The 26,898-nt window shown below is 40.5% G+C and overlaps 1 long non-coding RNA gene across 9 annotated transcripts; it reads right to left on the bottom strand.

The window, feature by feature from the left end:
• Positions 1 to 287: 287 nt before the first annotated feature.
• Positions 288 to 25,179, bottom strand: LINC02507 (long intergenic non-protein coding RNA 2507). 9 transcript variants are annotated; one of them, NR_187409.1, is made up of 6 exons: positions 24,819 to 25,179; positions 23,947 to 24,089; positions 22,077 to 22,196; positions 21,571 to 21,668; positions 16,022 to 16,146; positions 288 to 612 (listed from the first exon to the last, which is right to left on the bottom strand). It is a non-coding gene; the product is annotated as a long intergenic non-protein coding RNA 2507 (long non-coding RNA). The 9 variants fall into 9 exon arrangements; NR_187408.1 differs by having other exon boundaries at positions 21,571 to 21,661; NR_187410.1 differs by lacking the exon at positions 23,947 to 24,089 and adding an exon at positions 19,354 to 19,434.
• Between the last annotated feature and the right edge of the window lie 1,719 nt (positions 25,180 to 26,898).

Here is a 26,898-nt window from a genome sequence, read left to right as displayed (position 1 = left end):
CGTTTGCAATTTGAGCATAATGATAGCTACTGGGCAGGGTGGTGGAAAGGGTTAGCCAAGATGCATGTAAACGGAGAGTCCCAGGGGCTGGTACATGATAGGAGCACAGTGCTTGGTAGCCAGAGGCAGTGCTGAGTAAGGGCTGAATGAGAAGGCTCATCACTATCCATCTTGGTGCCTTCAGCATCTGGCATGGTCCCTGAACCTCTCATCTGCAACTGAGGATTTAATTCAATAAGCATTTTGTTTTAGTTTGAGTTCCCTCAGAAGAGACCATGAGACAATAATGTAAATGTGAAAGTTTATTTGGGAGGTGACTCTAGGAATCATAGAAAGGGGAGTGGGGAGGTGAGGTAGGGGAGGAAAGGAAACCAACACAGGATACGTTAATGGGCAGGTTACCACTGAGGGCAGCTGGGCTCCAACCTACTGGGACCATCTGAAAGACTTTGTAGAACATGCTCAAAATCATCACCAGAGAGACAGGAAGTGAGTACCTTTACCACCAAACTCCATCCGCTGTGGATCGTCGGCTGCTCACAGAGGTGCTGACAGCCCTACTTTTCTGGACTCTTCCTCCCTATCGTTGAGTTCCTGCAGCAGAGGGAGCTCCTGGGCAGAGAAATTCAGGAAAGAATTGCCAAATTTAGCCAGCAAAAACACAGAATGCCCAGTTAAATTTGAAATCTAGGTTAACAACAAATACTCAAAAAAATGTGTGTGTGTCCCATATTATAGATATTTAAAAATCATTTTCATGGGATATACTTAGAGTAAAAAATTGTTTATCTGAAATTTAAATTTAACTGAACATTCTGTATCCTACCTGGCAGCCCTAATTCAGGGGCTTGCTTGGGGGATAAAGGTGGAGTAAACTGTCTTCTTTTATTGAGTACTTACTATGGGTCCAGAGTGAGATTTATCGTGGGAATGCAGAATTAATGAATAAGTCTCCAGACCCTGCCTTGCCCCTTGAAGTTGTAATTAGATTTGAAAGAAAGATGTGTGTAGAACTGCTTTGAAAATGATAAATGCTGCACAAATGACAAAGAAGTATTCACTTTTAAAATGTATTTTTAAAAACACTAGTAGTGTGTCTAGCATAGTAGCTGCTCAATGTTTGTCATGTCAAACTGAATTATTATTATGATTTTTTTATTCTTTTATTTCTATTATATTTCAATAGTTTTGAGGGAAAAGGTAGTGTTTGGTTGCATGGAAAAGTTCTTAAGTGGTGATTTCTGAGATTTTGGTGCATCTGTCACCTGAGCAATGTACACTGTACCCAATGTGTACTTTTTTATCCATTGGCCCTCTCCCAACCTTCCCCCTGAGTCTCCAAAGTCCATTATATCATTCTCATGCCTTTGCGTCCTCATAGCTTAGTTTTCCATTCCTGTTTGGTTTTCCATTCCTGAGTTACTTCATTTAGAATAATGGTCTCCAACTCCATCCAGGTTGCTGCGAATGCCATTATTTTTTTCCTTTTTGAGGCTGAGTAGTTATATATCCCACATTTTCCTTATCCACTTGTTGGCTGATGGACATTTAGGCTGGTTTCATATCTTTGCAATTGCGAACTGTGCTGCTAGAGACATGCGTGTGCAAGTGTCTTTTTCTTATATTGACTTCTTTTCCTCTGGGCAGATACCCAATAGGGGGATTGCTGGATCAACTGGTAGTTCTATTTTTAGTTCTTTAAGGAATCTCCACACTGTTTTCCATAGTGGTTGTACTAGTTTACATTCCCACCACTAGTGTAAAATGCACTCTTTTCACCACATCCACACCAACATCTGTTATTTTCTGATTTTTAAATTATGGCCATTCTTTCAGGAGTAAGGTGGTATTTCACTGTTGTTTTGATTTGCATTTCCCTGATAATTAGTGATATTGAACTTTTTTTTCATATGTTTGTTGGCCATTTGTATATCTTCTTTTGAGAATTGTCTATTCATGTCCTTAGCCCACTTTTTGATGGGATTATTTGTTTGTTTGTTTTTTTTCCTTGCTGATTTGTTTGAGTTCCTTGTAGATTCTGGATATTAGTCCTTTGTCAGATGCATACAAACTGAATTATTATTATGGGCAAATAATACTATTATTTGTTGATTACTGTCATGAGACTCAGGCAAGGTTGTTTTAACATCTCCCTAGGTCCTAGATCCATGCTTATTTTTGGAGTCTTGCTTCATATTATTCATATTAAAGTGAATATTCATATTATTCATAATATTCATATTAAAGTGAATATCTCACACTAATCAAGGGAAACATATATATATTGCTTAAGCATTTTTTTGACAGAATTTAAGAATTTTAAAATTTTTTAGTTTTTGAAAAGATTTAGCTGTGACTTATTTAAGATTAGCTTTGATTTCTTAATTCAGGAGGGTAAGAAGGTCCATGAACTTGGATGAAAAAAATCTGTTTTCATTAACTTCAAACTGAAATTTGTAATTTTATTTATTAAAGAATATAGGCCATACATCACATTAATATTAACAATATCTCTCTCACCAATAGAAACAATAGATATATTCATGTCACATTACAGGGATTACGAATATCCCAAAACATCATTTATACTAATTGCTACTTTGAATATATAGTTGTGACATTGTTATTAAATCTTGTTATTAAATGCATTAATAAATAAGCACATATTTACAAATTAGTATTTTAAAGTTTTTTTTTTTTTTTGAGATGACTCTTGCTCTGTTACCCAGGCTGGAGTGCAGTGGTGCAATCTCAGCTCACCACAACATCCGCCTCCTGGGCTCAAGAGATTCTCCTGCCTCAGCCTCCCAAGTAGCTGGGATCACAGGCGTGTGCCACCACACCCAGCTAATTTTGTGTGTGTGTGTGTGTGTGTGTGTGTTTAGTAGAGATGGGTTTTCACCATGTTGGCCAGGCTGGTCTCAAATTCCTGACCTCAGTGATCCATCCACCTCAGCCTCCCAGAGTGCTGGGATTACAGTCGTGAGCTACTGCGCCCGGCCGAGTTTTTAAAAGTTTTTTGAAAATTTTATTTTAAAATAGTTGGCTTTCTTTGTGGGGCATTTTAAAAAAGTTCCAGGAGCTTCACTTAGGCTTCCAAAGGGATCTATGGCACAAAAGTGGAAAAGATCCCCTGCTAGGGCCTCGTGGGTAAAACAGCCTGGGGCTCAGGCTATGGGTCACTCTCGCCTGGTATTTTTTCTTTGTTCTTTTGTAGAAAATAGTGGGGACTTAGCAGGCTCAGGAGAGTGCAACTGCAGGCAGAAACAAGAGAAAGTTCAAAATATGTCTAAACTTTACTGGAAGATTTACTGGTTATCAAGTCAGAAGACTTTGGATCCAGTCCAGGCTTACCTTTAATATTCTCACAGTAGATGCATTTGCTCATTGAATCAGCCAATCTTTAAAAAGGGCCTATCACCAGCCTGACCCTATGCCTAGGCATTGGAGCAGGCAGGCCCAGGGTTGAGTCCATTCTGTCACTCACCAGAGGAGTGACCTTGAACAAGTTATTTCATATCCTGAAGCCTCAGTTTTCTAATCTGTAGAATGGAGATACTGATTCTGAATTTAACAGGGTGGTTGAGAGGATTAGATAAGATGGGTGTAAAGTACAATAAACACAGAGAAGATTACAGTTACTATGAATCACCATTTTGTCTATAAACTCTTGCATCAATGTGCTGCTAGTTGTCAAAGAAAAGCATATAAAACAGTCTTCTCTTGTATCACTGATTAAATATTTTTTTCTGTTAATGTTTTTGAAGCATTGTTTAGAGAACTGTAAAAGTAGTTAAAAAGAGGAAATATGACTGAAAATTCATATTCCTGAAAATATATGAATGTTAAAAATTGTATCAGGTGATATAATGACTCATCAATAACCTTACTAGATTATTTATTCTTAAAAGATATATTTGGTCAGGCGCAGTGGCTCACGCCTGTAATCCTAGGTCTTTGGGAGGCCGAGGTGGGCGGATCTCTTTGAGTTCAGAAGTTGGAGACCAGCCTGGGCAACATGGTGAAACCCTATCTCTACAAAAAAATACAAAAGAAAAAATAAAAAAGAAGTGGGTGTGGTGCCTCGTGCCTGTGGTCCCAGCTACTCGGGAACTGAGGCTGGAGGATGGCTTGAGCCAGAAAGCGGAGGTTGCGGTGTGAGCTCATATCACGCCACTGCACTCCAGCCTGGGCAACAGAGCGACACCCTAAGGGAAAAAAAAGTATATTATAGTTAAAAAACTTAAAAAAAGTTCTATCTGTAATTATGATTCTAAGAGAGCCATCCCACTGTTTTCTTTCCTGATACTATATTTTCTAAAAGTCTAAACACAAGGCTTTCCTTTGTTTTGGTTTTGAAACTTTGACCATTTATTCATAAACCATGCTAAAAACAGCAACTACCACCAGGTCGCGCTGTAGTTCCACAATGAAAACAGGCTGGGGTCTAAGGAATTCTCGAAGGTCTCAGTTGTCACATCATTTCTGTTTTTTGAAGCAAAGAGGGGTGGAGACAAATATTTAAAAGGAAAAAGAAAAGCTTTTGCTGAAAATAAATAACTTCAAATTCACTATAATTTAAACGTTGATATTCAGCAAAAAAGATTTTATCTGAGAATGTTGCTATTGCTACTTTTAGAAAAAATTGCTTTCAACTCAGTCCTGTTATTTTCCGGATGGAAAAATATAAAATAAATAAATAAAAACCGTGCTGAAAGTTTTCTTTCCTATATTCTCTAGTGGTTGATGGATAATACTATTTTTTTAAAATCCCAAGATGAGGTATATTTTATTTAAAAATTATAGTGATAGCTTAGGTATAAACCAGGCTTTAGAAAATATATAAACACTTCATCTTAAAAACAGTTTTTTTTTTGTTTTGAAAAAGCCCTTTTTTCTTTTTTGGTCTTATTTTTCCCAAATGTCAATATTTATGAGTCAGGGGTTGTGGGAAATGTTACCTAGAGCTACAAGGGCCGGAGATTGCCCTCTTGTATCCCTGGGGAGTTGAGCATGAGTGCCAGAGGGCAATGTTTGGCTGGAAGGACCCAAGCCTGCCTTTCTTTGCACCCCACAGTATGCCCTTTGAAGTGAAAGACATTTCTGTACTCAGCTCTACTTCATAGGAATTCAACTCAGGATGAGCAATGCACACAAATTTCTGTATACCCTTTTAGTATAAAAACAGAGGCAGACTAACAGAAAACCAAAAAAGCCAGAATTAATGCAGGCTGTTTGGAGTTTTGGAAACTCTTCTGATAACTTAAGTCACAAATCTAAATTTCTGGATGAGACTATTTTTTGATCATGTCACTTTCAGAACATCAGTCACTTGAAGTTTAACCCCTTTTAGGATTTGGGTGGTATTATTAGGAGTTTTGTCAATGGCAAAGACAGAAGTCCATGAGAAAGAAATCCTCACAGAAATAAGGTAAAAATCACGAAATATCAGTAAATTATGAAGCTTACATTTGTTTTGAAAATGAACCCATCAGCATAATGAAAAAAAATGCATTATTTAATCCAAGTGTTTTAGTTTGCTTCCTTACAAATTGTCCGTTATTAGGGACTGAACAAGAAAATAAAAGCTGAAAATGAACAAGATTTACTGAGTGGAATACAGGGGAACTGGGAAATATGCTGGCAAATTGGAGCCATTAACAAGTTAAAAAAATCAGAAACAGTTTTGAAAACCAGAAAGTCACCAGTAAAATATATCCGTAAGGTCAAATGAGCTGTCCTGATGTTGATTCTCAATTTCCTCCTGCATTTATTTGAAGGAGCTTCTCTTTATTATTATTATTTTTAAATTTAAATCTTTAACCCCCATAGATGGCTATGTCTCCTAGTATCTTTCAGCTAAGGATTATAACTTTTTCTTTGCTCTATGAACTTTAACACTTCTTTATTTAGCTTGATTTATTTTTAAATGTCCCACCCAAATACTTAACTGGTTCAAGCACTTAACTGGTTTCCAAAGGCTTGTTGTATAAATAACAAGATAAAAATTCATAGAACATTTTATTTTCCCACATTGGGAGGTAATAGTCCTGTTTCATTTTTGGAAAAATATGGCAAAGAATTATTGAGGTTAATGAAAAATTAAGGGAAATGATAGCATCAGGTTTTTTGGGGAAAAAAAGATTCTCTCTGGGAAGAGACTTTCATTTCATTTTCTAAACACATGGGTGTGGCCTTTGGCTTTTTTCTCCACCCATTGATCAGCTAATTCTAAATGCATTTTCTCCACTTGCCAATGGTATGCCAGCATTCTGCTGTTTATATTCTCTAGCCTAGTTTTTTATTTTTATTTTTCTGTAAATGGGGATTAAAATATTTAGCTCGGAGATGTTGAGAGCATTTAAATAGTAACGTGTTCAGCCCTTGGCGTACAATAGGTATTCAATGTGTGATACTTTCCTTCCTCCTTTCTTCATTAACTGGAACACACACACACACACACACAAAACACCAGTTTACCCATATTAAATACCTCTATGAGAATGTAATGCAAAACGTGTTTAAGTTAATTTGTACAGCATTTACCGTTCAGCATATACCATTCTTGCAACCCAGTTATAGACATGCTTAATGAAATTAGCATTGGAATCAAGGCTCTGAAATTAAAAGTAAAATTCAGGTGGGTAGAGTTGGCATTTAAATATTTTGTATATTTAATTAATATCCGTATGCATATTTATTTATCACTACATTTATGTTTAATTTATTATTTATCTTATGTATAGTATATATTCATATGTATATTTATGTTTATCAGTTGTGCATACGCCTGTGAATGTTTTAAGTCTGTTTTGGAATAGGTCACTAAGGCATGGTTCTATGAAGGTATTTCAGGTTTTGCGCTTCTATTCACTTCAAAAATGAATTGTTAAATAAAATTTGATACTGTAGGAAGCTGAAAATAGTCAACTTCCCTTAGCTAGGCACCAATAACATAGAGTTTTTGAGAAAATCAAGCAAGGCAAGGATGGCCTATTTTTCTCTAAGAAATTCATCCGTATGTTCAAATGAATGTCTTCCTTTTCAGAGAAGTTGCTTTGGGAGTCTAGACACTTCTTTCAACTGTACTGCTATTGCACTAAACATTTTAGGAACTTTTTTTGGAATTACCTTTAGGGCTAATTAAGGAATCAAAGTAAAAGCTAGTCTCATTATATTGTAGGCTACAGCACTTCTATCCAGTCAGTTACCGTCTGCCTTATTAAATGGCTTGGTTGTTTCCAAAAATGAAACTTACCCTGATGAAAAAAAATATTTTTAAAAAATACCCTGACATTCAAAGCAATTCCCGTAGTGTGTGAAGGAAGGAAGTTCCTAACTGGAGTTTCAAAACTGTTTTGAAAATCGCTGGAATGTTGCTGCCTACTTTGATGGGGACATCATTCATTTGTATGGATAAATTCAAGTATATTTGTTCAAACCCAGTGTCATTGTCTTATAGTCATGTCTTTTGACAGTAACTATTTATAATGTGAAATAGGGATCCTTTTGAGCTGAGAGACCTCATCAAAAGACAAATGCTATTATTTAAAAAGGAATCATGGTGAATTTTTAACTAGAGTCTGCTGCGTTCAGTTACAGGCTCCAGAAACTTCTGAAAACAAAAGGAGAAAAATACAAAGGCCATTGTGCCCAGATCAGGCCTGTGATGTTCCTTTTATCCTCACATGGATTTGTTTAGCGAGTTACTGCAGTGCTTGTGTATATGATTAAATTTAAGCCAGTCATCATGGAATAGAATTATAAAGGCTGCGGGGTCCATATTTTGAAACAAGCAGGAAAACAACATGAACTTGTTAGAGGATGAATCCAGACTTTGATCTTAGCAAATACATAAACAGTAACAAGATGGAAATAAAAGGTAAAAATATTTGTAATATATTTATGTTTGGTTATTAATAAAAAGGGAAATCGGTGAAAAAGGCAAAGCCAAAAAGAAAAAAAAAAGCTTCTGCTTAGGTACTTCGTTAAACCACATAAAAACTGTGAGAGTCCTGAGCAAATGAAATCTGTGACACATACTGAAACCCTTGAGCTGGGCCTCCAAGGGCTTCATGGTTTTAAAGAGGCTGTTACGGACCTGGAGCTTTTCTGGCATGCCAGTCTCAGACCCTCCAGACTCGGGGGCTGCCAAACTGCTCATTTCCCACAAAACTTCAGCAGACTTGTAGTCTCTGACCATCCATCCATGTGCTATATTCCCAATAAAGCTATGCATCCTTTCAGATGACCCATATTGTGGAAACCAGTATCTGAACAAATCTGGGACCCTTTTAAAAAACTCGGTAGCTATGCTGTGCAAACCACGAATGCACTACTTCCCATTTGATTAGACATTTTCTTCTGGAAATGATTTTTGGAATTGATGTGGTGTCTATTTTTTTTTTCAACAAAGCTGTCTCTCTTTTAAAATAAATCCCACGAATAATTTACTCTGCTGCCAGAGATGTGCTTGCTTTTATTTTTATTAAGGCCTGAAGTGTCTGGGATCAGCATCCTTGTGCCCCTCAGGGCTGTATGACCTTATGACCTGCATGGTCCTGCCAGGTCGCTTTCAGGGAAGGAAGCCCTCTTGATGGTGTGGAATGAGCCTCCTGAAGTGTCCACACATTCTCCATCCTGGCCCAGTGCCAGCCTGTGTTCAGGCTGCCTCAGACCTCCACAGAAAGGGTTAATAACGCACAGCAGAACGTCCAGGCAGATGAATAACAGATGAGTTTCCCAAATCTTGGTAAAACAGTGATGTAGAAAGTTGGTGAGGTTTTAGAGATAACTCCCAAATGTTTATATCATAAAATATTCTCCTTTCCATTTTTCACTTTCCCTAGCTAAGGAGGCTAAAATTCTTTACTAAGTGAAGGAAGTCAGATACAAAAGGTCACATATTTATATGAACTCTCCAAAATAGGCAAATCTATAGATACAAAAAGCAGATTCATGGTTGCCAGGGGCTGAGGGGAGGGAAAAGGGAGAGTGACTGCTTACAGGGTTTCCTTTGGGGTGATAAAAAATGTTCTGTAACTAGATAGTGCTGATGTTTGTAGAACATTGTGAAGGTAATTAACAGTTATTAAAATGGTAAGTTTACGTTATATGTATTTTACCACAATAATTTTTTTTCTTCCTTAGGTAAAGTACAGGTGAAATGCAAATAGGAAAAGTAATTGTTAAGTCATTTGCACTCATCAATATCTTAGTAGTAATTTTTAGGGCAATTAAGGGGTCTCCTAGTAAGTCCCTGATTATTGGGTAAAACAAAAAAATTGGTTATTGGTGAAAATGGATGAAAGGGCAAAGCTGGTGTAGCACGTGTGAGGAAAGGACAAGAAGGCAGGTCGGGGTAAGACTGACCTAGTGTAATGGTGAATTTTATGTGTTAACTTGACTGGGCCATGGGGTGCCCAGTGCCTAGATATTTGGTTAAACGTTACTTCTGAATGTGTCTATGAGGATGTTTCTGGATCAAATTAACACTTGAGTCAGTAGACAAAACAGATTCCTTCCCCAGTGTGGGTGGGGCTCACTCAGTCCATTGAAGGCGTGAAAAGAACAAAAGACTGAATCAGAAAATTTTTTTCTCCCTGCCTGTCTTTGAACTGGGACATTGGTCTTCTGCTGTTCATCTTTGACTCAGACTGGAACATACACTATTGTCTCTCCTGGTTCTCAGGCCTTTGAACTTGGACTGGAACTATACCATCGGTTCTCCTGGGTCTCCAGCTTGCTGACTGTAGATCTTGGGACTTCTTAGCCTTTATAACTTCATCAGCCAATTCCTTATAATAAATATCTTTATATTTTTATCTGTATCTGTGCATGCATTTCTAACTATGGATATATATATTTCTATCTGTTACTGGTTTTGTTTCTCTGGAGAACCCAGACTAACACAGGTTTTGGTACCAAGAAGTGAAGTGTGGCAGTAAAAGATATCTAAACATGTGGAAATGGCTTTGGAGCTGAGTAACGGGTAGAGGCTGAAAGAGTTTTCAGGTGCATGCTAGAAATATGGATATAAAAAGAGATTTTGATGAGGTCTCTGATGGAAATTAGGATCATGTTATTGGAAACTGGAAGGAAGGAAATTCTTGTTATAAAGTGGCAAAGAACTTGGCTGAATGGTGTTCAGGTGTTTTGTGGAAGGTAGAACTTGTGAGCAATGAAATTGCATATTTAGCAGAGGAAATTCTTAAGCAAAGTGTTGAAGGAGCATCTTTGCTCCTCCTGAGTGCTTGTAGAAAAATGTGTGGGCTGGGCACAGTGGCTCACACCTGTAATCCCAGCACTTTGGGAGGCAGAGACAGGTAGGTCACTTGAGGCCAGGAGTTCAAGACCAGTCTGGCCAATATGGCAAAATCCTGTCTCTACTGAAAATACAAAAATTAGCCAGGTGTGGTGGTGCATGCTTGTAATCCCAGCTACTTGAGAAGCTGAGGCAGGAGAATTACTTGAACCCAGGAGGTGGAGGTTACAGTGAGCTGAGATCATGCCACTGCACTCCAGCCTGGGCTACAGAGCAAGACTCTGTCAAATGTGAGAGAAGAGAGATGAATGAAGAAGAAATTGTTAAGCAAAAATGAACCAGAGCTTTAAGGTTTGGAAAACAATCAGCCTATTCATATTGCAAGAAACCGAGAAAGCATGTTCTGAAGAGTATGCCAAGGGTATGGCTGGATTATGGTTTGAGAAAGAGTTTATGGGATGATATGAGCAGAAACACTGCCAGTTTGAACTGAAGGGGATGGAGATGTAACAAAATGAAGGAAGGCTGTTGGAATTCTTGGATTCTGTGAAAAGGACTGTATAGCTATTTGGCTGTGAATGCATGCTATTCTTCAAGGAAAAGGAAGAATGACTTCAAATGTGACTCAGAGATCATCAGGGCTGTCACTCCTACCACAGACCTAGGGGATAAGGCTATCTCCTGTTTGGTTTCAAAGAGTGTGACCACCCCTCTTGTTTTAGAAGGTGAGAAAAGCCCTACTCAGTGCCTTAGGAGTGAGCCCACAAAGTGTAACCTTGGGAGCAGAGCAACTCAGAGTCTCAGGTGCATTACTTTTTTTTTTTTTTTTTTGAGACAGGGTTTGGTTCTGTCACCTAGGCTGGTGTGCAGGGGTGCAATCTTGGCTCACTGCACCTCTGTCTCCTGGGCTTAAGCCATCCTCCCATCTCAGCCTCCAGGGTAGCTGGGACTGCAGGTGTGCACCACCATGCCTGGCTAATTTTTGTACTTTTTGGCTTTATTTTGTTTTGTTTTTTGTAGACATGGGGTTTCACCATGTTGCCTAGATTGGTCTTGAACTCCTGGGCTCAATTGATCTGCCTGCCTCAGCCTCCCAAAGTGCTAGGATTACAGACTTGAGTCACTGTGCCTGGCCTTGGGTGCATTACTTTTTCAGTGGGTCCTGAAGGTGGGAGTGCTACCCTACTGGGCACAGAAGGCAGAGCATGGGACCAAAGAGAATTATTCTTGAGCCTTAAAATCTAATGGAATTCACCTTGCTAGGTTTTAGATTTTCTTGGGACTTGTCTTCCATCTTCTGGCTTCTCCCTTTTGGAAGGAAAATATCTATCCTATGCCTGTCCCACCATTGTATTTAGGAAGAAAATAGCTTGTGTGGTGAAACTAAATACAACTTAAGTCAGATATGTCATATATGAGTGAGACCTTATCTTTGGACTTTAGACTTGATGCTGGAATGAGTTAAGGCTTTTGGGGCTATTAGGATAGAATGAATGTATTTTGCACACTAGAAGGATATAAATTTTCGCAGTCCGGGGCAGAATGTTACAAACTGAATGTTTGTGTCCCCTCAGAATTCATATGTTGAAGACTTACCTGCCAATGTGATAGTATTTGAAAATAGGGACCTTGGGAGGCAATTAGGTTTAGAGTAGGTCATGAAGGTGGGGCCCTATTAAGAAGAAGACTTTTTTTTTTTCTTATTCCACTTGAGCACAAAGGAAAGGCCATATAAGGGCACAGAGAGAAGGTGGCCATCTGCAACCCAAGGTCAGAGACCCCTCACCAGACACCAACTTTGCTTGTGCCTCAATCTTGGATTTTCCAGCCTCCAGAACTGTGAGAAATAAATTCCTATTGTTTAAGCTACCCAATATATGATGTTTTATTATTGCAGTCTGAGCTGACTAAGACACCTGGTGCATCTCATGGGGAAGACAGAACAAAATGAAAGTGTGCATGAGCTGGGAGAGGGCCAAAGGCAAACCTGCTGCCTTGTGTTTGTTCAGGGCTTGTCCCAAATTCTTGAGTTATTAATACACCATAAAGTATTTAAAGGTTATTGCAATTATGCATGTTTATTTCTGATGATGATTGCTCAATGACTTCTAGGTGCTGGGAGGAAGTGGAATATGGGGAAGAAAAGATTCTCACTCCCACATATTTTCATGGGGAAAGACAAATGAAAGGTCCCAACCACACATCCATTTTCTATAATTGTAGTTTTCAGCAGTTAGGGTCAAATGACTTCTTAGTATTTGTCTGCTATTAGTTTAAATGGGTAGCTCAAAGGAGAAATAGTCACATCTCAATGTTTCGTTAAATTATAAAGCAGCAGATTGGACAGAAGCCTCCTTTTGTGAGCTCCCTGACAGTGCAGGGGTAGATTGGCCCTTGCGGTCGAGCTTTCTCTTATCTTTAAAGACTTGTCCCCTCCTAAGCGTTTATCTTCCTCCTGTCCTCCATTCTACACAGTCCTCTTACTGCTACCACATTGAACTACTTAATCCCCATCCCCAGAATTCTGGGGCCGTTTGAAGAGTCCATGCTTTGCACATGCATTTCTTTGGCCTGGAAGTTTCTCTTGCCTTCTTTGTTTGACACAATTCCTACAACCTCCTAACACCCCAAGACATTTTATGAGCTGTAAGAAACCTTAGAAATCACATCACACTGACCAACAATGTGGGTAACAACTCTTGGGAGAATCTAATTTGGCTTTCTTACTGAGTCATTACTTTGGGTAGACAAGTTATCATCTGAACTCTTAACTAAACTGAGTAAAAAAATATACATAAAAGCATTTCGTAACAGCAGATTCTGTAAGGGAGGCTGACTTTGCAGATGCTTGGTGTGTTGTGGGAAGCACAAGGAAATAATAAAACACCCTGAGTCTTACTACACAGGCCTGAGTGGACTTCTGTAGCCATTTGTGCTGCTATAACAAAATGCCACAGACTGGGTAATTCATGAGCAATTGAGAATTATTTCTCATAGTTCTGGAGCTTGGGAAGTCAAGAACAAGGTGCTGGCATCTGGTGTCTGGTTAGGGCCTTCTTGTTATGTCCTCACATGGCAGAAGGTGGAAGGCAAAATGGGGCCTTTAGCCATATTATAAGGCATTAGTCCATTTACAGGGATGGAACTCTCATGATTTAATCACCTCCCCAAAAACCCCACCTCTCAATACTACCATGATGGGGTCAAGTTTCAACATAAATTTTGAAGGAGGAACGTTCAAACCATAGCATCCACGGAAAACAAAAAGTAAGCACGGATGTGCCCCTCTGGGGAAGGCTGAGGGTCTGAATGTGCTTCTGGCAAGAGAAATCATGGAGGAATAAAAAGAAAGCACATTACTTGTGCTATTATCTACCTCTGGGTTAAACTGAACAGTGGGATCAAAGTGGTTTGTTTGTTCTACTAGTTTGTTTTTTAGTAAAGCACTTGTTTATTTTGTTTTGAGGTAGTTTCTCTGGAGGGATTGAGGGCAAATCTGAGTGGAAATTACTTGTTTTTTCCATGTAATCCTATAATAAGTACAAGTTTTTTTTATAGTCGTTTGATTCCCACAAAGAGCTCTGTATTCGTGTGTGTGTGTGTGTGTTGTGTGTGTGTGTTTTGGGAGGTGGGGAGACAGGAAGCTGAATACAGAGGAGCTAAACGTTGAGAAAGTAAGAGTAGGAAAATAGGACATGGTATGTTGGAAGGTGAAATAAAGAGAAGTAAACACAGGAGTATCAGGAAAAAGGAAAGAGAAGCTCACAAGGGATAGTGTGGGGAAAGGACATAGGGTAGGTAACACAGTAAATCAGAAGGAAGCAGAGCTGAGTTGAATAGTGATGTGGTTTGAATCTGTGTCCCCATCCAAATCTCTTGTTGAATTGTAATCCTCAATGTTGAGGTGGGGTCTGGTGGGAGGTGATTGGATGATGGGGGCAAATTTCCCCTTCAGTGCTGCTCTTGTGGTGGTGAGTAAGTGCTCTTAGGAGCTGGTTGTTTTACAGAATGTGTCATCTCCCCTGCCTTCCTCCTGTTCTGGCTGTGTAAGACGTTGGCTGCTTCCCCTTTGCCTTCCACCATGATTGCAAGTTTCCTGAGGCCTCCCTGGAACCTGTACAGCCTGCAGAACTGTGAGCCAATTAACCCTCTTTTTTTTTTTTTTAAATAAATTACCCAGTTTTAGATGTTTCTTTTTCTTTTCTTTTTCTTTTTCTTTCTTTTTTTTTTCTGAGACAGAGTTTCACTCATGTTGCCCAGGCTGGAGTACAATGGCATGATCTCGGCTCACTGCAACCTCTGCCTCCCAGGTTCAAGCGATTCTCCTGCCTCAGCCTCTTGAGTAGCTGGGATTACAGGCACATGCCACCATGTCTGGTTAATTTTTGTATTCGTAGTAGAGATGGGATTTCACCATGCTGGCCAGGCTGGGCTCGAACTCCTGACCTCAGGTGATCCACCTGCCTTGGCCTCCCAAAGTGCTGGGATTACAGGCGTGAGCCACCGTGCCCAGCCTCAGGTATTTCTTTATAGCAGTGTGAGAATGGACTAATACAAATAGTAGAGTGTTGAAGCCATCCTCTTCATTTTGAAGATGAGCAAACTGAAGCCCATGGAGGCTATGTGAATTAGCAAATTGGTTAAGGCCAGAACTAAGGTGAGCCCTTGTCTCCTGTTCCATGAAGTACATGGCTGTGTGTGGTGGGTGGAGGTGAGAGGGGAGACCTCTGAGCTGAAGACAGAACCATGATGTGATTTTTTTTCCTGTTCATTATTGTTAAAGGCTAATTTTTAAAAATTTATTTTTACATTATTATTATTATTATTATTATTTTAAGATTCAGGAGGTGCATGTGCAGGTTTGTTACATGGATACATTGTGTAATGGTGAGGTTTAGGCTTCTAGGGTACCCATCATCTAAATAGTGAACATTGTACTCAATAGGTTATAATTTTTTTTGACATTTATCCTTCTCCCCTTCTCCCCATCTTTGCAGTCCCCAGTGTCTATTATTTCCATCTTTATGGCCATGTGTACCTGTTGTTTAGTTCCCACTTATAAATGAGAACATGTGGTATTTGATTTTCTGTTTCTGAGTTATTTCACTCAGGATAATGACCTCTAGCTCCATTCAGGTTGCTGCAAAGAACATGACTTCATTCTTTTTTATGACTGCATAATATTCCATGATGTATATATACCACATTTCCTTTATCCAGTCTTCCATTGATAGGCACTTAAGTTGATTCCATGACTTTGCTATTGAGACCAGTGCTGAAATAAACATGTGAGTGCAGGCATCTTCTTTATATAATGATTTAAAAGGCTAATATTTTTAAAAGGTGAATGTTTATATCATGCATCTGATATAAATATAAAATGAATACATGTAACAAATTTTGGTTAACTCACTAATTGTTGAGGGAACCCATAAAATGTTACTGGTTGAAAGAATTCAAAGTACTGCATACATACATATAAGCAGATAAAGAATGCTTAAATGGATAAGTAAATGTGACTTGGCATAGATTTTATTTAAATCATTAACTATTGAGAGAACCAGTAAAAACTTACAACAGGTTGAAAGTAGAATTTAAAGTACCATACACATATGTAAGAAGATAAAAAATACTAAAGTGTGCTGGGTGCAGTGGCTCGTAATCCCAGCACTTTGGGAGGCAGAGGTGGGAGGATTGCTTGAGCCAGCTTAGGCAACATAGTCACACTCTGTGTCTACAGAAAATAGAAAAAATTACCTGGGCACGGTGGTGCATGCCTGTAGGGTGAGGAGGGAGGATCACTTGAGCCAGGGAAGTCGAAGCTGCAGTGAACTGTGACCAGGCCACTGCACTCCAGCCTGGGTGACAGAGCCAGATGGTGTCTCAAAAAAAAAAAAAGCTCACATGAATTTGAAGGCATATGTAACATTGATCTATCCACAGGTGATAATCAATTGCATTCCAATACAACTAATTTGCATTTGTATGGACAAGAAACATTTGTATTATTTTTGGCTCTCTACAAATTATAGAGTTGTAAAATAGTTGAAATACAATAAAAGGTAGCAATATCATGGGAAGAGTATGCTGTATAGAACATTCTAGAAAAGAAAATAAATCTTCAGAGAAAAAAGTAATCTTTTTTTTTCCGCATTCCGAAGTCTTACACAATTTTTCTCAGCAAGAGTACATAATTGGAGCTGAAGGTGCTCCCTCAACTTTTTTGGGTCACAGAATATTTGGCAATGATGGAAACCAGGCCAAGAAAAGTGGAGGATTCTAGGAATACCTCCAAGGTCATACTGCAGGCACTTCCGGTCAGGATGCCACTGCTGCCATTGCCCTGCTAGATGCTCTCCACCAGCATTGCCAGATGACTCATGTGGCCACCTGACCCTGCATCTTTGCACTACATTCTCAAGTTTCAGTCTAGGAAAGGGGCATCGAGTTGACTCAGATCCCATGCCCTCACCCTAGCTGCCTAGACTGGGAAGAAGGAATATGAAACCACATGATTTCACTATGACAAACCAAGACGGACACAATGGGGATTTCTCGCCACAAAGGAAGGATACGTGATGTTGGCTAGTAAAAAAGAAAAGGCAAATATTTACTGTAAGCACTATACTAGGGATATACAAAACCATCAGAGAGGATTTAAGCTTTTTCTGGAGAAAGATAACATAATGAAGTGGGAAGATTAAGAGCTCATCTCTACTAAAAATACAAAAATTAGCCGGGCATAGTGGCATGTGCCTATAATCCCAGCTACTCGGGAGGCTGAGGCAGGAGAATCACTTGAATCTGGGAGGCGGAGGTTGCAGTGAGCCGAGATCGCGCCACTGTACTCCAGCCAGGCAACAGAGACAGTGTCTAAAAAAAAAGAAAGAAAAGAAAAAAAGAGCTCTAGACTCATATACCTAGGTCTAAGCCAGGTTCCAACAGGCTGAGTTATGGTGGGAAAATTGCAAACCTCTCTGAATCCCAGTTATCTCATTTATGTTAACATTACTATCTGTCTCAAAGATGCTTATGACTGCATAATCTGGTCCATTGCTATTTCTATGACCTATCTTCTTCTATGACTTGTCTCCTTGCTGAACTCTGCTCCAGCCCTCCTAGCTTCCTTGCTGTTCTTTGAGCACACAAACATCCATCTGCAGTAGGCCCCTTGTACTTGCTTGCTCCCATGTCTGAAAAATGTTCCCCCATATGAAATTTGTTTTCTCACCTCCTTCATTCAGCTCTCTTCTCTCTCTCTCTCTTTTGAGACAGGGTCTCACTCTTGCCCAGGCTAGAGTGTTTTGGCACAATTCAGTTCACTGCAGCCTCGACCTCCGGAGCTCAGGTGATCCTCCCACCTCAGCCTCCTGAGTAGCTGGGACTACAGGTGCACAACACCATGCCCAGCTAATTTTTTGTATTTTTTGTAGAAATAGGGTCTCACTGTGTTACCTAGGCTGATCTCAAACTCCTGCGCTCAAGCAATCTGCCTGCCTCAGCCTCCCAAAACAGTGGGATTACAGGCATGAGCCACCACATCTGGTTAGCTCTACTCTCAAATGTCACCTTGGCTTTGGTAATACCTTCCCTGACAACTCTGACGAAAATTAGAACTTATTTTACCTGGCACTACCTTACTTAATTTTTCTCTATAACATTTGTTACTTGTCTGTCTCCCTTCTCTAAACTGTAAGTTCCATGAGAACAGGAAATCAAATCTGTTTTAACATGGCTGTATCTCCAGAGCCTTGAACAATGTCAGGAACATAAAAAGTGCTCAATAATATCTGTTGGATGAATGAATAATTGCAAAGTGCCTGGCGTACAGTAGACACCAAACAAATGCTGATTATTGCTGTTTTTTATCAGACTCTGATTTCTCTTCCCATACCCTAAGCTGACCTGCTTTCCCAGAGGACTTATGATCTAGTAATAAAATTTACCAGTGCAGGAACTCAATCTCCTAATTCAATAGAAAACAACTAGAATATTGTAGTGTTCATATTGGTGATCACTTTTGGGATTTCACACTTATTCTTTGTTTTTTAATGTGTCTGATCTATGGTGGTGCTACCAAATGATTTGTATTAGCAGCTGGAAAAATCTAATAAAATTACTTTGAAAGTGCCTTTTGGGCCAGGCGCAGTGGCTCATGCCTGTCATCCCAGCACCTTGATAGGCCGAGGCAGGAGGATTGTTTGAGTCCAGGAGTTCAAGACCAGCCTGGGTGACATAGGGAGACTCTATCTCTACAAAAAATAAATAAATTAGCTGAGCATGGTGGTGCCTTCCTGTGGTCCCAGCTACTCAGGAAGCTGAGGTTGGAGGACTGTTTGAGCCTTGGAGGCCGGGGCTGTGGTGAGCTGTGAGTGTGCTACTGCACTCCAGCCTGGGTGATAGAGTGAGACTCTATCTTAAAAAAAAAAAAAAAAAAAAAGAAAGAAAGAAAACAAAAAATCAAGGTGCATTTTGAAACACAGGAGAGTCAGAATTTTTTTTTTAATTTTATCTCTAATAGGAAGACTATATTAGAACATAAGACTGCACATGACTATGTCACTGTTTCAGTCAGCATTCTTTAGAGAAACATTAGTTATAAGAAGTTGGCCTATGCAATTATGGAGGCTGGCAAATCCCAAGATCTTGTGGGGAGAGGTCAGTCAGCCAAGGTGATATCTGAGAGTAGAGGTGAATGAAGAAGGTAAGGGAGAAAGTCATAAGGGAGGACATTTTTCAGACACCAAGGAGAGCCAATGCTTTAGTTTCAGCCCAAACCTAAAGTCCTGAGAACCAGGAGAGCTGATGGTGTAATTCTGGTCTAAAGGTCAGCAAGCTCAACATCCAGGAGTTTGAGTTTGAGTCTTAAGGCAGGAGAAAAGCCAGTGTCAGCCAGACATGGTGGTTTATGCCTGTAATCCCAGCATTTTGGGAGGCCAAGGCAGGCGTATCACCTGAGGTCAGGAGTTCAGGACCATCCTGGCCAGCATGGTGAAACCCCGTCTCTACTAAAAATACAAAAATTAGCTGGGCGTGGTGGTGTGCACCTGTAATCCCAGCTACTCAAGACGCTGAGGTAGGAGAATTACTTGAACCCTGGAGGCGGAGGTTGCAGTGAGTGGAGATCATGCCATTGCACTCCAGCCTAGGCGACAAGAGGGAAACTCCATCTAAAAAAAACAAAACAAAACAGAAACAAAGCCAGTGTCCCATGTTGAAGATTGCCAGGCGGAAAGAATTATTTTACTTGGGGGAGGGTCAGCCTTCTTATTCGGATCAGGCCCTTTAACTGATTAGGTGAGGGTCACTCACATTAGGGAGGGTAATTTTTCCTTAGCCTATCAATTTAAATGTTAATCTCACCAAAAAACACTCTCACATAAACACCCAGAATAATGTTTGACCAAATATCTGGACACCCTATGACCCAGTAAAGTTGATACATAAAATTAACCATCACATTTAGGCTGGGTGCAGTGGCTCACACCTGTAATCCTAGTAACTTGGGAGGCCGAGGCAGGCGGATTACATGAGGCCAAGAGTCCAAGACCAGCCCGGCCGACATGGTGAAACCCCGTTTCTATTAAAAATAAAAAAAATTAGCCTGGTGTGTTGGTGCACGCCTGTGGTCCCAGCTGCTTGGGAGGCTGAGGCAGGAGAATTGCTTGAACCCGGGAAGTGGAGGTTACAGTGAGCTGAGATCATGCTACTACACTCCAGCCTGGGTGACAAAGTAAGACTCTGTCTCGGAAAAAAAAAAAATTAACCATCACATTCACTCTATCTTGTATATCTATCATCAATTCTTTAGTTGTCATGGAATAGTTGTTATAAAGGAAAGCTGTGGGAAACAACAATCTCTTGAGTAAAAACATGTTTAAGTCAGTTCCCATATGTAGATGGACCCATTCAGTGCATGTGTGAAGGCTTTTAATGCTTAAATTAGCATAGCGATCCCATTGACGATATAACATCAGGACTACAACAAGGTCTGGGCACTTGCATTCTAGTTCCTAGCTAGAGATTCAACTTTTAGCAATTAATTTAACCTTTTTGGATTTGGTTTTCTCTTCTGAAAGTTAGGGGGTAGGACTAGATGATTTTTTTTTCTTTTTTTTTTTTTGAGATGGAGTTTTGCTCTTGTTGCCCAGGCTGGAGTGCAGTGGTGTGATTTCAGCTCACTGCAACCTCCACCTCCTGGGTTCAACCAATTCTCCTGCCTCAGCCTCCCAAGTAGCTGGGATTACAGGCACCTGCCATCACGACTGGCTAATTTTTTTGTATTTTTAGTAGAGATGGGGTTTCACCATGTTGGGCAGGCTGGTCTTGAACTCCTGACCTCGGGTGATCGGCCTGCCTCAGCCTCCCAAAGTGCTGGGATTACAGGCGTGAGCCACTGTGCCCAGCCAACTAGATGATTTTTTAAAGATCACTTGTAGCCCTGGAATCTTTGGTTCTAGATAACAGAATAAGCTGTGAGGGAAGCCCTCTCTGCTGCTAGTAGTGTGACACACAGGGACGAAAACAACACATTTTTGGAGTTATGTATGGCAGTGCTGTCTGTCTTGGCAGCTAAATGACAAAAATAATTTGGCCTGAATTTTATTTGTTCCCAGTTGGCTGAAAGTAAACGGAAGTTATTCTAGGAACAACTGTGTCTTCTTTATTCTCTATTTTTTTGTTTTTCTTTTGTTTTTTGTTTTTTGTTTTGAGATGGAGTCTTGCTCTGTTGCCCAGGCTGGAGTGCAGTGGCATAATCTCGGCTCACTGCAACCTCCACCTCCCAGGTTCAAGCGATTCTCCTGCCTCACCCTCCCGAGTAGCTGGGACTACAGGCGTGCACCACTACACCCGGCTAATTTTTGTATTTTTAGTAGAGACAGGGTTTTACCATGTTGGCCAGGCTGGTCTCAAACTCCTGACCTCAAGTGATCTGCTCACCTCGGCCTCTGAAAGTGCTGGGATTACAGGCATCAGTCACCGCACCCTGCTGTGGACTGTCTGGCTTCTTTATTCTTTTTTTTATTTATCAGACAGAGGGGCTCTGGGCATTTCATGCAGTTACCAGACAGCAGTGAAGGTGCCAGGCTCCTGATCCATGAGAGCCAAGGTGTCTACTCTCAGCATCTTGCACAGTGCCTAGCACAAAGTGGCCCCCCATAAGTGAGACATTGAACAAGTCACATGTCTGGCCCCTTGACACAGCACATGAAACACCCTGGGGGACCTGACTTAGTTCGTTCGCACTGCTATAACAAACTATAGTAGACTGCATGACTTATAAACAACAGAAACTTATTTCTCACATTTCTGGAGGCTGGAAGTCTGAGGTCTGGGTGCCAGCATGGTAGGTTCTGGTGAGGGCCCTCTTCCGGGTTGCGGGCTGCTATCTTCTTCCTGTATCCTCATATGGAGGAAAGAGAGCAAGAAAGATCTCTGGGGTCCCTTTAATAGGGGCACTAATGCCATTCATGATGACTTCACACTCATGACCTAATCTCTTCTAAAAGTCCCACCTCCTAACACCATCACAGTAGGGATAAAGCTTCAACATAGGCGTTTTGTGGGGACAAAAACATTCAGGCCACTGCAGTGCTTGCACCACTTGGGAGATTGCAGTGGTTTGGTCAGTTGCAGCGCCTATGAAGCCCCTTTCTTCACTACTGCCCTGTGCTGTGCTTTTCTAACAGACACCAGATACATTCTACCCTCCCTTCCATCTCTGTTACTTTGAATCTCTGATATTGGTGTCAACAGCCCCCTTCCCCAGGTCCCAGGCAGGGTAGCCCAGACACTCAGTCTTCTGCTATACCTTGACTTCCCAGCCAAGATGGTGGAGGTAGGTATGAATAACTTTTATTACTGGAGTCTTCAGCAGGAACCAGAAGAGTGGGAGTTTCTGAGGGTATTTCTTCATCCAGGCCTCTTGCCCCTTGTGGCCATTGAGAAAAGGAGAACTTTGGAAATCAAAGAGAGCCTCATGGAGGGAGTGAGAAACTGGGGGTCTGAGTATGTGGATGGAAAGAATTGCATTTTTATTTTCATTCATTTCCAACTTAAAATTAACATTTGCTTCAGTTATGAATATAAAAAACACATCACAGTGGTACTAGCAGTACCTATGACTGTCACCAATAGAAATCACAGATATATTCAAATCATATTAGTTACTGACAAATCTCACAAAATACTATCTATGCTCAGGCTGGGTGCAGTGGCTCACGCCTGTAAACCCAGCACTTCGGGAGGCCGAGGCGGGTGGATAACTTGAGGTCAGAAGTTGGAGCCCAGACTGGCCGACATGGTGAAACCCCGTCTCTTCTAAAAACACAAAAATTAGTCCGATGTGGTGGTGCACGCCTGTAATCCCACCTACTTGGGAGGCTGAGGCAGGAGAATCACTTGAACCCGGGAGGCAGAGGTTGCAGTGAGCTGAGATTGTGCCACTGCACTCCAGCCGGGGCGACAGAGCGAGACGTGGTCTCAGAAAAAAAAAAAAAAAAAAGCAAAACCCTAAAAACAAAAACCACCTATGCCCATCACTATGTGAAATTATGATAGTTAGATAACCTGCCCCTAGATTTTATTATCTAATGTGTTAATAAAGAAGACATATATTGTCTCATCACAAATTTGTTTTTTAAAAATTATTTTAATAACTATGTTTTAATATAATTGGTGTTCATATAATTCTATGCATTAAAAAATGCATTGAAGAGATTTCTTCACTAGACTTCCAAGGGATCCATGATCCAAAAAAGATTAAGAGTCGCCTGTACAAGGAGAACCTTGCACTGAAAGAAATTAGTCATTGAGGTGGTATTGGTGGCATAGCATTTGCTGAATGAAATATCTTATTCAGGCATTTCATGAAATTGTTGTAATACTATTTAGCAGTATTTTGATAGCCGAATGGTTTCCAACTTATACTTAGTTCCTTATTAGGCTCAGCTAGTTTCAACATGTGAGAATCAATAAGTTAGACTATAAAACTATTTCCGACAACAAATTAAAATGTTTTCTTAGAAAAGTTTGACTAATCCATTGGCATCTTGACAGATACTTTCCCTCTTTGGTAAAGACACTAAAGACTCATTGAATGGCTTAGTATCTCACTTTGCCCTGTGTGTTGTGGGGTAGAATCGTTTATTCCTTTAAATGTCATGTTATTTATTTATTTTCTCTACATATAAACATTTCTCTTTGGAGAGCTCAGAAGATATAAATTATTATTGATTTATTTAGATAGAATGCTTTTATTTGGCTTTGTATACAAGCTAAGTGCTCACAAAAGGTATTAGATTAATGAGGCTGGAGACTAAAGTCTTCTGTTTGTCTACTTATTTGGGAAGATCTCTAAGTCATTCAGTGTAAACATGCTTGCCCTATGTAGCTAATTGACTCAAAGTTGACTCAGAAAACTTTAGAGCTTCATCTAAGAAGCCATAAAACATCAGCTACCACTTTAAATCATTGTATAAGTAGCTTCTTCCTTCCCTTTCCTCTTCATCCTTTTACCTTTTCTTCTGGGATCACCGGGAAGCCACAGATCGGTATTCTCAGACTTTTCCTCTCCTTTTTGGATCCAAATACTTAAAGTGCCCACAACAATCTCCTTTCTAGTCTTTCCTAAATTCATTTTGTTCTTCTCTCTACCTCTTCTCTTAGCCCTGTGTACTTACTTTGCTCTGTTAGTTGTGTTTAGCAACTGCTTCCTGAATTAAACAGAAAAGTGGGTATGTGGATTTCCAGTCGTATTCTGTGAAGCTCCTTACTGCATAATCTGACCCAGGAGGGGGAGCCTCTGGTCCTACCGGCCCTGTTTCTGCAAGAACAGTTTTTATCCATTATGTTTGTCTGAACACCCCTAATGAAATGTCATTTGAACAAAGGATTCTGTGGGTAAAGGGTTTGGAAATCACTGAACTAAAGAATGCTCTTGGCCCGGTTTACCGTTATACTTTGGCTCTGGCACATGTTAGGAGAACACTTTGACTGTTCAGTTATCCAGTGATGTAAATCATTATAAATGTGCATAATAACCATTATTATAACAAGATAATATGTATAATAACAGTTACTCTGTTGGTCCCTGAAGCCACATTTCCGTGTGGCCAAAAGGACAGAACTATGCAATTAGTTATTTGTCTTTGGAGCCTGTACTGGGTTGAATAGTGTTTCCCCAAATCCATGTCTACCAGAAACCTCAGAATGTAACTTTATTTGGAAATAGAGTCTTTGCAGATGTAATCAAGTTAAGATAAGGCCATACTGAATTAGAATGGTCCCTAATCCAATAACTGGTGCCTTAAAGGAAGATGGAAACTTGGACACAGAGACACAGACATACACAGGGAAGAAGCCATGTGAAGACAGAGGCAGAGATTGAAGTGATGGATCCATAAGCCAAAGATCACCAAGGATTGCCTGCAGCCACTACAAGCTAGGAGAGGGACATGGGATAGTTTCTCCTTCAGAACTTCCAGACAGAACCTTTCATTTATCTCTCTTACTTCATTACCTGCTTCCTGAGATCATTTCCCAAATAAATTACCTGTACTTTTACTCAAGTCTGTGTCCAAGACAGTGAGTACTGGAAGTGGCTGTCAATGAGTGGTGGCGGATACCTGCAGCCATAGCTCCTTGGGAGGCTGAGGCAGGAGGATTGCTAAGGCCCAGGAGTTGAAGGCTGTAGTGAGCTATGATCACACTACTGTGCTCCAGCCTGGGCAGCAGAGCAAGACCCTGTTTCTTAAAAACAAAGAAAGACAATCAGGTTGACATTGCTCAGTGGGACTGAATCACTCAACAGCCAGATAGCAACAAGAACCCTGGTGCTGGTGGAAGTAGCATCATAATAACTAAGAGTCTCAGAGAAAGTCTTGGTTAGGCTAATGCGGAACCCTTGGGGAAAGATTTCCCATTAGAGGAATCCTATGATGAGCAAGAATGGACCAGCTCTAGAAACTTTGCCATGTTTAGTCTTTGACCAGGACTATGTGGCCTTTGAGTGAATGCTGCGAAAGACCTCAAAGTTGAGGCAGCTGGAGGCTGTCAGATAACTACATTCCTCATGGCAATTTCTTCCTTTAAAGGAGATCTGAGTGGCACACCCCAACGGCTGGATGCCTAAGGCTCCGTTCTGTATGGAACTGGGTTCTATAGTGTCAATTGTGATGATGGAATTCCAGAATAGCAGAGGTCAGGGTAGTAACATTTAACCATCAGTATCATGGTGGATGTAATTATCATGCCAGGTAGAAAGACCAGAGTTGCATCTGGGGCACTGAGTCCTGCACATATCTGTGGCAGTGTCTAATAGACTATATTTTCCTTGGGGCAAATGAGATAAAGAGTGAGCTAGCACATTGCTTGGCTTATACAATCAGAAAAAAAAAAATCAAGAGTTGCTGTGAAGAAAACTGATATCAGCTACCATAGTGGAAACCTGCAATCTCTGGTCCAGTTTCCAGCTTAGTTAATTCTTTTGATCAGAGACCACCAATTGGAGAGGCTGTGTCTGCCTAATGAAAGACCCCTCAATGTCACTGCAAGCATATACAATATATCAATCCTAACTCAAAGGAAACTGTAGCTGTTTAACAGAGTAATTGTATGCTATAGAAAGAGGAAGACTTTTGAGAGCTTTTGGACATAGGATCTGAACTGATGCTGATATCAGGGGATCTGAAAATGCTTTCTTGGCTCCATGATTACAGAGGAGACATGTGGAGTCTTAGCCTAGATCTATGTTACAATATGTACAATGGGTCCAGAGACCCAACCTGTGATCATTTCCCCAGTCCTCTTGGGCATAACTGGGATTGATATTCTTTGCAATTGGAAGAATGCTCATATTGTTTCACTGACCTGTGAGTAAGAACCCTTATGGTAGGAAGAGCCAATTGGTTAAAGCAACTAGTTGGCTTCTGCTATTCTAAAATCCTATCATCCCCGAGATTGTTTCTCCAAGCCAAGACAATAAATCAGAGCAATATTATATCCTGGGTGGAATTGCAGAAATTAATACCATTTTTCAATATTTAAAGAATGCAGGAGTGGTGGTTCCTATCATATTCCCATTCAGTTTACTGCTATCACCCCTGAAAAAAATCAGATGGATCAAGATGGGTGATGATGAACTGAGCCCAGTGGTAGCCCCCAAAGCAGTATCTTATTAGAGCATAGTATCACAGGTCCAGGTCCAGCCTCTGGCACTTGGTATGTGGTTGAGTAACTGCCCAGTGGGTTCACCTTGCCCACTCCCTAGACAGAGCTGATTTATCAAGACAGGGGAATTGTGATAAAGAAAGTAATTCACACAGAGCTGGCTGTGAGGGAGAACTGAGTTTTGTTATTACTCAGATCAGTCTCCCCGAGCATTTGAGGATCAGATGTTTTAAGGATAATTTGGTGAGTGGGTGGCAGCCAATGATTTGTGGATGCTGACTGATTTGGTCGGAGATGAAATCACAGGGAGTCGAAGCTGTCTTGCACTGAGTCGGTTCCTGGGTGAGGGCTACAAGTTCAGATGAGCCAGTTTATCGATCTGAGTGGTGCCAGCTGATCCATCGAGTGCAGAGTCTGCAAAATATCTCAAACACTGATCTTAGGCTTTGTAAGAGTCATGTTAT

The sequence above is a fragment of the Homo sapiens genome, chromosome 4 (assembly GCF_000001405.40).
Source record: "Homo sapiens chromosome 4, GRCh38.p14 Primary Assembly".
In the NCBI taxonomy this organism is placed as follows: domain Eukaryota; kingdom Metazoa; phylum Chordata; class Mammalia; order Primates; family Hominidae; genus Homo; species Homo sapiens.
Note: the sequence above shows the minus strand (reverse complement) of the source record. Positions and strands in the feature narration are given on the sequence as shown.